Raw genomic sequence first — 13,166 nt, 5'->3', positions numbered from 1 at the left:
CAATTGGAGAACTAGAAAAAGAAGAGAAAGGTAAAACTAAAAGAGTATATATGAAGACAAGATAAAGAAAAAGTCAGAAATTAATAATAAGAAAAAAGAAAAAATCTCATTAATGAGTCAAAATTGAACTTTGTTGAAAAATTAACAAAAGGGACTACTACTGGCCACCTTCATAAGGATAGAAAAAGGGAGAAAGCAAAATAAAGTTTAAAATAACTAGAGAGAAACAATCACTGAAGTACGAAAAATTTAAGTCATAAAAAACTACAATGCAGACCACCGCACAAATAAAATTGAAAAAACAGATAACATGAATAACAACTAAAACAGACACTCAAATAGAGATAAAGAATCGAACCAATTTCTGAAAAAAGTAGAGAATCACAAAGAACTACCACGCAGAAAAGCAAAAGAATCAAATAGTTTCACATTCAAAGACCAGATGGTTCCAATGTAACAGAAATAGTTCTAAAACACAGAAAATAAAACCTCCAAATTCTTTTTATGAACCAAATATATTGGCACCAAAATATGATAAAAACAGAACAAAATTAGAAAACTATGGATCAATATCACTTACGAATATCAATATGAAATCACATCATAAAATATTAATGAACTTCAACATTACACTAATATTATGCCATAACACATCAAGATTTATTCCTTAAAAGGTTGGTTCAATATTAGAAGCTCAGCAATATATTATACCATATTAAAATATTTGAGACAAATATGATTACTTCTATAGATGTTAAACAAGACTCTGAAAAAATTCAATACCCATTCCATAAAAATAAAACACATTCAAGAACATAAGCGCTGACAGATATTTTCTTGACTTTATAAACAGATACACACACACTCATATTCACACATATATTCACAAACATATACACAAACCTTAGTCCTAAAGCCATCATCACATTTAATGGGGTAATACTTCAGGCATTTCCAATAAGATTAAGAAGAGTAAAAGATGATTACATTTCTTACTATTTAATACTGTATTGAATGTATTAGACAATGCAATTAGACAAGACAAATTAAATACAAGAACTGTAAAAGAAGAAAAACTACTGTATCTACTTGCATATGACAGTTTTCTAAGAAAACTCTAAAGAACCATTACTAAAACCACTCTGAACCACAAATAATTCCGTAAATTAACAGGATATAAAATTAATGCATGGAAATAAAAATTCTTCATATATATAAACAAAAATAATAAGAAATAATAGAATAAATCCACTGACAATATCAACAAAAAGGTATAATATTTTGAAACAAACATAATAAGAAATATGCAAAACTAGTAAGAGGAAAGCTTTAAAATAATCCTAATGACCTAATGCAAAATTGATGAAAAACAGAAACATTCCTTGTTCATATATGAACATCTATACATCATACAGATGTGAGGTCTCCCCCAAATCAATTTTAAAACTTAACATAATTTCAATGAAAATGCCAACAAGTATTTTTTTTTTTTTTTTTTTGAGACGGAGTCTCGCTCTGTCACCCAGGCTGGAGTGCAGTGGCGCAATCTTGGCTCACTGCAAGCTCCGCCTCCCGGGTTCACGCCATTCTCCTGCCTCAGCCTCCCGAGTGGCTGGGACTACAGGCACCTGCCACCACGCCCGGATAATTTTTGTATTTTTAGTAGAGGTGGGGTTTCACCATGTTAGCCAGGATGGTCTCTATCTCCTGACCTCGTGATCCACCTGCCTCAGCCTCCCAAAGTGCTGAGATTACAGGCGTGAGCCACCGCGCCCAGCACAAGTATTCCTTTTAAATGAAACTAAACAAAATAATACAGAAAATCCAGTATAAATAGCTAAGATAACACTGAAAACGGAGAACTACAGGGAACTACTAGTCCAATCCAATGTTAAATTACATTATAAAGCTTCAGAAATTAATGCAAAAGTATTTATGGCTAGTATTGTTATATAAATAGACAAATCAGTGTGATTCAACAGAAAGTACAGAAATAAAACCAAGTACATGAGGAAACTGAGTATATGACAAAAGTAACAACTAATATTACTGAAGCAAAGATATTTTAAAATAAATAGTGTTGGAACAACTGGAAAACCACTTATAATAAACTGTAATGAATAAGAGAGCTTTAAGTTTAAAAAATAAAGGGTACTCAATTAGGAAAAGAGGAAGTCAAATTGTCCCTGTTTGCAGATGACATGATTATTTAGAAAACCCCATCGTCTCAGCCCAAAATCTCCTTAAGCTGATAAACAACTTCAGCAAAGTCTCAGGATACAAAATCAATGTGCAAAAATCACAAGCATTCTTATACACCAACAGCAAACAGAGAACCAAATCATGAGTGAACTCCCATTCACAACTGCTTCAAAGAGAATAAAATACCTAGGAATCCAACTTACAAGGGATGTGAAGGACCTCTTCAAGGAGAACTACAAACCACTGCTCAATGGAATAAAAGAGGACACAAACAAATGGAAGAACATTCCATGCTCATGGATAGGAAGAATCAATATCATCAGAATGGCCATACTGCCCAAGGTAATTTATAGATTCAATGCCATCCCCATCAAGCTACCAATGACTTTCTTCACAGAATTGGAAAAAACTACTCTAAAGTTCATATGGAACCAAAAAAGGGCCTGCATTGCCAAGACAATCCTAAGACAAAAGAACAAAGCTGGAGGCATCAGGCTACCTGACTTCAAACTATACTACAAGGCTACAGTAACCAAAACAGCATGGTACTGGTACCAAAACAGAGATATAGACCAATGGAACAGAACAGAGCCCTCAGAAATAATATCACACATCTACAACCATCTGATCTTTGAGAAACCTGACAAAAACAAGAAATGGGGAAAGGATTCCCTATTTAATAAATGGTGCTGGGAAAACTGGCTAGCCATATGTAGGAAGCTGAAACTGGATCCCTTCCTTACACTTTATACAAAAATTAATTCAAGATGGATTAAAGACTTAAATGTTAGACCTAAAACCATAAAAACCCTAGAAGAAAACCTAGGCAATACCATTCAGGACACAGGCATGGGCAAGGACTTCATGACTAAAACACCAAAAGCAATGGCAACAAAAGCCAAAATTGACAAATGGGATCTAATTAAACTAAAGAGCTTCTGCACAGCAAAAGAAACTACCATCAGAGTGAACAGGCAACCTACAAAATGGGAGAACATTTCCGCAACCTACTCATCTGACAAAGGACTAATATCCAGAATCTACAAAGAACTCAAACAAATTTACAAGAAAAAAACAAACAACCCCATCAAAAAGTGGGCAAAGGATATGAACAGACACTTCTCAAAAGAAGACATTTATGCAGCCAAAAAACACATGAAAAAATGCTCATCATCACTGGCCATCAGAGAAATGCAAATCAAAACCACAATGAGATACCATCTCACACCAGTTAGAATGGCAATCATTAAAAAGTCAGGAAACAACAGGCGCTGGAGAGGATGTGGAGAAATAGGAACACTTTTACACTGTTGGTGGGACTGTAAACTAGTTCAACCATTGTGGAAGTCGGTGTGGCGATTCCTCAGGGATCTAGAACTAGAAACACCATTTGACCCAGCCATCCCATTACTGGGTATATACTCAAAGGATTATAAATCATGCTGCTATAAAGACACATGCACATGTATGTTTATTGCAGCACTATTCACAATAGCAAAGACTTGTAACCAACCCAAATGTGCATCAATGATAGACTGGATTAAGAAAATGTGGCACATATATACCATGGAATACTATGCAGCCATAAAAAAGGATGAGTTCATGTCCTTTGTAGGGACATGGATGAAGCTGGAAACCATCATTCTCAGGAAACTATCGCAAGAACAAAAAACCAAACACCGCATGTTCTTACTCATAGGTGGGAATTGAACAATGAGAACACTTGGACATAGGAAGGGGAACAACACACACCGGGGCCTGTCATGGGGTCGGGGGAAGAGGGAGGGATAGCATTAGGAGATATACCTAATATAAATGACAAGTTCATGGGCGCAGCACACCAACATGGCACATGTATACATATATAACAAACCTGCACTTTGTGCACATGTACCCTAGAACTTAAAGTATGGAAAAAAAAATGAAACCAGGTGGAGCAAATGAAATATCACACATTGCTGATGGGAATGTTTAATGGTACAGTCACTCCAGAAAACAACTTGGCAGTTTCCATGTGAAACATACACTTTCATATGACCCAGAAATTCCACTCCTAGTTATTTACTCAAAAGAAAGTGAAACATATGTCTCCACAAAAGGCTGTATGTGAATGCTTAGCTTATAGCAACTTTATTTATAACTGTCAAAAACTGAAAACAACCCAGATAGCCATCAACAGGTGAACAGAAATTGTAGCAGTTTTCAATAGAATACTACTCAGCAATAAAAAGGAATGAACTACTAATGACCTACAAAGATAAATCTCAAAAGCATTATGTTAAGTGAAGGAAAACAGACCCAAAACAGTACATACCTTACAATTCCACTTATATACCATTCCTGAAAATGTAAAAATATAGGGACAGAAATCATCTCCTGGGGCTGGGAGCAATGCCAGGAGAAGGGGACTGACTCTAAACAGGAATGAGAGAACTTTTGGGAATGAAAGAAATGTTCTACATCTTGGTGGCAGTAGTGGTTACATGATACATACATCTGTCAAAAGATATCAAACTGTACATTTAAAAGCGTGACATTTACTGTTTGTAAATTATATCTCAAAAAACCTAATCTTTGAAAAGTATGCAGATATTGCCAAATTCCCTTCCACTAACTTTCTTATACCATTTAATTTACATTCCCAAAGGGCATTCTAAAAGTGCTGGTACCTTTATCAGCCTCAATATTATCAGACTATTATTTTAGACCTCTCCAATTTGATAAGTCCTTTAAAAAGGGTGCCTCGCTGTTTTGGTCTCCTTATCTTCTCATTTTTCACAAAGGTAGCCTTTTTTCCTGTTTCTAGGACAGTCATATTCCTTCTCTGTTCTGTTTATTCATTCTTTTCGATCATCGCTTTAACAAGGTATTTAGTGTTTTTCTTAATTTTTTTTTTAGTACCGGCTAGATATTCTCAAATATTTGTTATCTATCTATTTCCCAGTTTCTCATTCACCTTTCATTTTGAAAAAATTTTTATTAAGAAATTTAACCAATGCAGAGATCAAATATTCAATTACATTTTTTCTAATTTTTTATAGACTCAATCATTTAACTCTTTAAACGTGATAATACAGTAACAACTAGGTATATTGTTATTTAAGTTTAAATTAAGTTAAATTAAAAATTCAGTTTGTCAATATTAATATTTTAATATTAAAAATATAATCTACATTTTTTAAACAGACTATATTTTTTAGAGAAGTTTTAGGTTTGATTTAGGTAAATTTAGAGCAATGTAGGTAAAACTGAGTGGAAAATACAGTGAGTTCCCATATACCTCAAGCCCACACAAAGTCTCTCCGCTATCAACATCCCTCACTAGAGTAGCACATTTTTTATAGTGAATGAACCAAGAATGACAATCCTTATCATCCAAAAGCCACAGTTTACATTATGTTCACTCTTGGTCTTGTCCATTCTATGGATCTTAACAACCAAATGATGACATGTATTCACCATTATGGTATCATGCAGAATAGTTTCACTGACCTAAAAATCCACTGTGCTTCACTCATTCATCCTTCCTCTCCCTTCTAACCTATGGAGATAGTAAAAAATTGATCTTTTTACTGTCTCTATAGTTTTGCCTTTTCCAGAATGTCATATAGTTGAAATTGTATAGTAACTAGCCTTTTCAGATTGGCTTCTTTTACATAGTAAAATACATTTAGGTTTCTTCCATGTTTTTTCATGGCTGAAAAGTTCATTTCTATTTAGCAATGAATAATATTCCATTATCTGGATGTATCAGTTTATCCATTCACCTACTCAAAGACATCTTGGTTACTTCAATGTTTTGACGAGTATGAATAAACCGACTACAAGCATTCACGTGCAGGTTTTTGTGTGGATGTAAGTTTTCAACTCATTTGGGTAAATACTAATGAGCACAACTGCTGCTTGGTATGTTAAGAGTGTCTAGCTTTCTAAGTAACTGCCCAACTGTCTTCCAAAGTGGCTGTATCATTTTGCATTTCCATTAGCAACAAATTTCCATGAGCAACAAATGAGAGTTCCTGTTACTCCAAATACTCATCAGCAGTTGGTACTGTACTGACCACGTTTTAAGTACTTAGCCACATACTGCTAATGGCTACCATATTGGACAGTCAAACAGAATATTTTCATCATTACACAAAATTTTAATGGAAAAGCTTGCTTAAAACTTTTTTTTTTTTTTTTTTTTTGAGATGGAGTTTCTCTCTTGTTGCCCAGGCTGGATGGAGTGCAATGGCACCATCTCAGCTCACTGCAACATCCGCCTCCTGGGTTCAAGCAATTCTCCTGCCTCAGCCTCCTGAGTAGCTGGGATTACAGGCACCCACCACCACACCCAGCTAATTTTTGTATTTTTAGTAGAGACAGGGTTTCACCATGTTGGCCAGGCTGGTCTCAAACTCCTGTCCTCAGGTGATCCACTCACCTCGGCCTCTCAAAGTGCTGGGATTACAGGCATGAGCCACCGCGCCCGGCCTCTCTGCTTAAAACTTAATTGGTTATACAGTAGGAAATGATGAACTAATATGACAGTGTTTTAACCTCTACATAAATCCATCTCTACTCCCACTGGATTTTGATGGTTCTTTGCTTATCTATATTTGCTCAGAAATTCAAATTCCTGCTCAGCCACTTCTTAACTGTGTGCCCATTAACATATTATTTAACCCCTCTGACTCTCAGTTTCTCATCCTAATTACTCATTAGTTTGGTACAAAGATTAAATTAGATAAGCAGGTAAGATAAATTACAACATTCATCATGTTACGCCCTCATTTGTAAACTCTTCTGGGTTAGAAGTTTGTTTTCTGAATGTTTCAGTTTCATACATTAAAGACCTTTATTAAAAGCAAAAGTATGTATTTACCTGGTCTGGATTTTTGTAACCCAAAAGTAGATTTGCTGCTTTTATATCACCATGAACATATTCATTTTCATGTATATATTCCAGTACATCCAACTGTGAAAATAAATAGATAAAATAAGGTTTACTGCTATTTAGAACTCATGATCAATTTCAACATTTTGAATATAGAATAACATGGGTTTTTTCATATTAACATTGACAAAGCGATGTATTTCACAATTACTGGTTAATTATTCTAAAATATCACATCTTCTGGTTGCTCATCCTAGAAAAAAGTAAAATGATCCTCAAAAATCAAGTATTTTAGTTGAAGTTCCAAAGGAAGAAAATCAAGATTCAAAAATGCTTATGCCTAATTCCTGATAGCCCAGTAGCCAAACCGCACTGCACAAAGAGGAAAAACATAGCATAAAATCAGAGATCTATGGTGAAATAATCTTGAAGCCCACTCAGCAATTCCTCACCTAAGCAATAATTATAAATCAAGCCTTGAGAATCTCAGAACAAAATGCCATGTCCATGAGCAAAGGGAAAGGTATTCTTCCTCTGTATGGTAATAGAAAACTCCTTAGCTTCATCTCTAAAGCCCTTCAGCCTTGCATGTTACATACACTTAGTACTCAATAAACATTTGCTGGCTTCGAGGATGGATAAATGAGAAAATTAATGCATTCTATTTGCTGCATTCCAATCTGGCATAAGCAGCTTCATGCTACTCAAAAGTGAAAAAATGAGACTTAAACAAACCAAATACAAACATATAAGACAAATATGTAGTATAAACAAATGTGTGCCTGAGTGCTATTAAGAGTTCGTTGCTTCTGCTTTGGCAAAGTATATTTTATTCATTGTCACAACTAATTATTGCCACCATCCCAAACTCATAATAAAAACTTCATAGCACCCCCCTACCATCACATGTTTAAAATGTCTGACAATATATTTTGCCATAATTTGCATTGTTATAACTGACAAAAGAAAGGTTATTCTTACAGCAATGAAAGCTTGTTCTGGTATGTAAAACAAAGCTCTAAGGAAAAAGAAGATCAGACTGGAGAACCAAAGCCTAATTGAGTTTGCAGTGCCATACACAGCACATTCTGTCACTTACAGAGCCCATTGTTATCAATTTCACCAAAATAGCCTCTACTCCTAATAACTGATGTCTCTAGGGCAATAATCCTTCATTCTCTAATAATTCCACAAAGGGAAAAGATTTCTATATTGCAAGAAGTAAACAATTTGGAAATGGAGCATGCGAAATAAGTAATTCTTACCATTCGGATACCTAATTGCAGGACAGTTGACTTTTTAAAGGTACCATTCTGGCCTGAGATCTTCTGTAAATCTATTCCTAGTCTTTCCATTACCATAAATCTGTAACTGTAAGAAAAAAGCATCAAAAAGAGATCATCCTGAGAAAGTAATGCTTGAAACTGTCTATTTAATTTGAAACAAGAAAAATTACGCTCAACCTAACAACTAAGTATAATGCAATCTAAACCATTAGAGAATGAATGCACGTTCATAATTCTGCTATTCTTTTGCAGAAACTGCTCAATATTTACTTTGCAGCTGATTTTCTATAAGAGAATGCTGTACTGAACCATTCACACTGTTTTACATAATGAAAAAATCTTTCTAAATTAGATAGTACTGAATGCAATTCATTTTGACTCCATGACTTTCTTGCCATATGGCCTTGAACAAATTATTGTACACACTTGATTTTTTTTTTGAGACAGAGTCCCGCTCTGTCACCAGGCTGGAGTGCAGTGGTGCAATCTCAGCTCACTGCAACCTCCACCTCCCAGGTTCAAGCGATTCTCCTGCCTCAGCCTCCCAAGTAGCTGGGACTGCAGGCATGCACCACCACACCCAGCTAATTTTTGTATTTTTAGTAGAGACGGGGTTTCACCATGTTGGCCAGGATGGTCTCGACCTCTTGACCTCATGATCCGCCTGCCTTAGCCTCTCAAAGTGCTGGGATTACAGGCATGAGCCACCGTGCCCAGCCACATGAATTTTATATTTGTTTGTTTCTTGATAAGATCATATATACCGTCTCTATACATTTATAAACATGTCTTTAAGTGCACTTCTTCCTTTTCTGTTCTGTTTGGCACCTTCCATACCTTCTTTCCTTCCCTTCATTTATATATCCACATCAGCCCCTATTCTATATCTATGCATGCATACACAAACACACACACTTAGGAATTTGTTTTACAAAAATGTGATCATATTATAAGTATTTTCTCCATCTTACTTTTTTCAATAGTATCTCATCAAAATCCTTCTAAGGCAACTAGTATAGCTCTAATGGACTTCTTTAATGGGCTACATATGACATGATATGGATGTATCATGATTCAATCAGCCATTCAGTCCCCCAGTGGCAGTCCTTTACTTCAAGATTACTGTTTGCTCATTTTTTTAAATTTAAAGCATTTAGAGACCATTTCAACAAAGTACTGACATCTGAGCTTATTCTCTCATCTATGGAATAAAAATAATATCACCTATTTTAACAGGCTATTCAAAGGACAAAATAAGATAAAGTATATAAAAGTCTCTGGCACAAAAGGGTAAATATAAAATGACACACTTTTTTTCTTTTTTCAAACACTATTAATAAATTATATATAGGACTAGCCATATTTGGTGGTTTTAAAGATATTTCTATAACTTATTTGTTGTGCTTCTCCTCAAGAGATAGAACTGAATTCTCCTCTCTCAGGACCAATGGATCTATCTAGTGACTAGCTTCTAGCAAAGAGAATAAAGCAGAAGCGATAATATCCCTTTTAAGATTAGATTACAAAAAACGATGACTTCCTTCTTGAATGCACTTGTGTGCATGCTCTCCCCGTCCCCCAATTAATTGCTCTAGAGAAAGCCAGCTATTTTTCATAACACTCAGGTAGCTTATGCAAAGACCCACATGATCAGGAAGTAAGAAGGCCTGCCAACAATCACATAAGTAAATTAGAAGTAGATCTTCTTAGGCCTACCAGTAGCCACATGAGGAACCCTGAAAACAAATACTTCCCCAGATGAGCCTTGAAATGAATGTAACCCAGCAGACAGCTGACTACATATCCTTATTAGAGATCCTGATCTAGAATCATACAGATAAGCCACTTGCAGTCTCCTCACTCACAGAAACTAAGACAATACAAGTTTGTGGTTATATGCCAATATGTTTTGGTAATTTGTTACATGGCAATAGTTAACTCATAGACCACATAAGGAATAGTTATAAAGAAATATTTGATTATAATAATTCCATTTTACCTTCTTCCCTTGAATTCAGTCAGACCAGATCCATAAAACAGAGGAATTCCTAAATAATCAAGTTGTTTGCGTTCTATCCACTTTTTGACTACAAAGACAAATTTATTTTTAAAAAGATTCATGTTATTTGAAAAGATACTTGTCACCTTTCTACAGACAAATTTATTTAGCTAACCAAAAAAGTAATTAGATCTTCCTAGAAGATAATTTTTTTTCAATCAAACATCTCTATCTAATGGCCTCAAACTGTTACCACTATAATTAACAAAAAATTAGAAATTTTTAAATTAAATCAATAAAAACAAGTCATAGGCTTTGTATATTGATACCATATATATTAATGTTTCAATCTATAAAAAGAATTCATTATCTTATATACTAGCTAAATTTCTAAATATAACATATGTTAACCACCAAAAGATCAGTAGAGAGATGGCTTTTTCTTCCCTATTACTTCAAGATTTAAAACCATAATGGACCAAAAAAAAAAAAAAAAGAAAAAAAAAGCAGAAATTGGGCAGAAAAACCATCTTACTTTGAAATTACTTTATACAAAAACTGGTTTTGATTAGTTTACAAAAAATCAAATCCACTTAAATAAAGTTAACTTTCATCATTTTTTTCATGACTCTAGCCTATGTTTTTTATGTTTAAGACAGCTCTACTGATAAACAATCAAGTTTAATGGATTCTATTTGTCACTGTGACATAGTTTAAGCAATTAGTAAAGATTACAGTCTTAATGTTTAGAAGACTTTATTAAGAAAAACTAAGTTAAATATTGAGGTCAGACCCATCACTCTTATTCTTAAACATGATGTAAAGGACCTTGACTATACAGTCATTACTCCTGTCTACTTCTTTAATGTTTTTCTTAGCCCATCTATATCACATTTATAAAATGCTGTTATTTTTCCTCTCTGCTTATATTCATTTCCCATTCAAGTCTTCTAACTGGTCATTCTTACACTTGGTATCCAGCTCCAATTAATTTTCCAGCATTCAAGTTTCTAACATTTTCTTAAACATCTTAAAGTTTAATCATTTTCACATTTCCACACACCTTGCCCCAATCCATTCTACAATCGTTCTTTTTTTATACATATATCTACTTCCCATTTTAATGTTTTTTCCTTATAGCCGTCCTATCCAAATGGTTTACTGTAAAAGAAATAATTTCATTCTACTATCTTTTACACTTAGGGAACTCTTGGTAGCTTAGATTAACAACCTAACATTTTATGTAAAGTAGTAGAAACAACTTTGACTTAAAATATATAACCCATTATGTATGTCATGTCAAGATTTGTATACCATCTGTCTTGCTTTTATATGTTGTAACAGTTAACTGTATCACTTTACAATAAAATTTCTATTGAAAAGAATTTTCCAGAAGGCCAGAAAAAGACCAAAATATCAACACTCACTTTAGCAAGCACATATATGGAAGTAGCTTGCTTTGCTAATTTTACTTACTACAGTCTTTTTTTGCAACTCTCTGATAAAATTTAAGTTCTGAAAATAACGGGCCATTTTCTTGATATTCCTATAAAAAAAAGAATAATTAATTTTACTAGAAAAAAATAATCCCAAAGATGGAATTGTTATTTCAACTGTGAAAATATGAACATATATATGTAGTATATAATAGTACTTGAATCACTTTTTATAAAACATAGGCACCAGATTTCCACTAAAAATCTCAGAAAACACTAAATAAACTTGAAGAATCTAATTTTTAAACGACATATTGTACCACTATCCCTATACAGTCTTACACATAAAAGTAGTTTTCTTACAGAGAACACTTACTAGAAGCACTGAGAACTGTATACATAAACATATACAACACTCACTGTATACCAACATATACATCCAGGTGATACACAGCAAACTCTCCTTGTGGTCCACTCACACATGATACCTTTACTGAATGGTCTACTATATTTCATTCATTATACTAGGTACAGGGGACACCAAAAAGAAATAAAACCCTATGCTTGCCTTTAAGGACCTTACCATCTTGATTAGAGAGGTGGAGAGGGTGGGAGGGCATTTGGGAGGGAAAGAGAAAGAATAGCTAGATAGATAACACACCAGGGTAATAGCTGGCAATACAGAAAAACAAAGGTTCTCCAGTTTTAATGTTTTAACAACGTCAAAACAGATGATAACATTAGGTTTACTGATAAGGCAATAGTTACAAAAATTAACGTGAAAAACATTCTTAAAGCAGAAAAGGAAAAAGTCAAATATATGTGAAATACAAATCTATGAGCAACACTTACCACTTTTACTACATGTCTTGCATCTTTCTCTGGTTTATTTGTGGGGAAAGCTGCAGACAAAAAAAACACACAATGGAGAAAAATAGTTATTCCCAATTACTGAATACCTACCATATCCCAAACACTATGCTAAGCATTTTACATATGTAAGTTTATTATGTCATCCCAACAACCTTTTATGGTAGTAGGAATCAATCATCTCCATTTTATACAAGATGCTACTGAAGTTTGAGACGTTGAATAAATTGCTCACTAAGAGGTAATATATTAGAGACAGAAACTCAAATCTGCCTGACATCACAGCCCATACACTTGATCATAAACCATATTTAAATATTTAAATACAGAATCAATAGACAATATGAATCATATAGATCCAAAATGTGGGGGGAAATATTTTATAGATATATGGCATTAAAGCCAATATATAATACACAGTAAAATCCATTGATTCAATTGCACTAAATTAGAACTCATAATGATTCAGAAATAAAAATCGATTCAATTTAAGT

At 34.0% G+C, this 13,166-nt stretch overlaps 1 protein-coding gene across 16 annotated transcripts in view; it reads right to left on the bottom strand.

The window, feature by feature from the left end:
- Positions 1 to 13,166, bottom strand: part of VRK2 (VRK serine/threonine kinase 2) — a 252,329-nt gene that overhangs the window by 63,128 nt on the left and 176,035 nt on the right. For 12 of the 16 annotated variants that reach the window (NM_001288837.2, NM_001288838.2, NM_001288836.1 and 9 more), the window contains 5 exons: positions 12,655 to 12,704; positions 11,843 to 11,912; positions 10,367 to 10,454; positions 8,347 to 8,452; positions 7,070 to 7,162 (listed from right to left, as the gene is read on the bottom strand). In NM_001288837.2, the coding sequence (NP_001275766.1) occupies positions 7,070 to 7,162; positions 8,347 to 8,452; positions 10,367 to 10,454; positions 11,843 to 11,912; positions 12,655 to 12,704 (407 nt within the window). Of the gene's footprint in view, positions 1 to 7,069; positions 7,163 to 8,346; positions 8,453 to 10,366; positions 10,455 to 11,793; positions 11,913 to 12,654; positions 12,705 to 13,166 lie in introns of those variants that run through there. The other 4 variants (XM_047445748.1, XM_047445747.1, NM_001288839.2 and 1 more) reach the window with 3 other exon arrangements.

The sequence above is a fragment of the Homo sapiens genome, chromosome 2 (genome assembly GCF_000001405.40).
Source record: "Homo sapiens chromosome 2, GRCh38.p14 Primary Assembly".
In the NCBI taxonomy this organism is placed as follows: Eukaryota; Metazoa; Chordata; class Mammalia; order Primates; family Hominidae; genus Homo; species Homo sapiens.
Note: the sequence above shows the minus strand (reverse complement) of the source record. Positions and strands in the feature narration are given on the sequence as shown.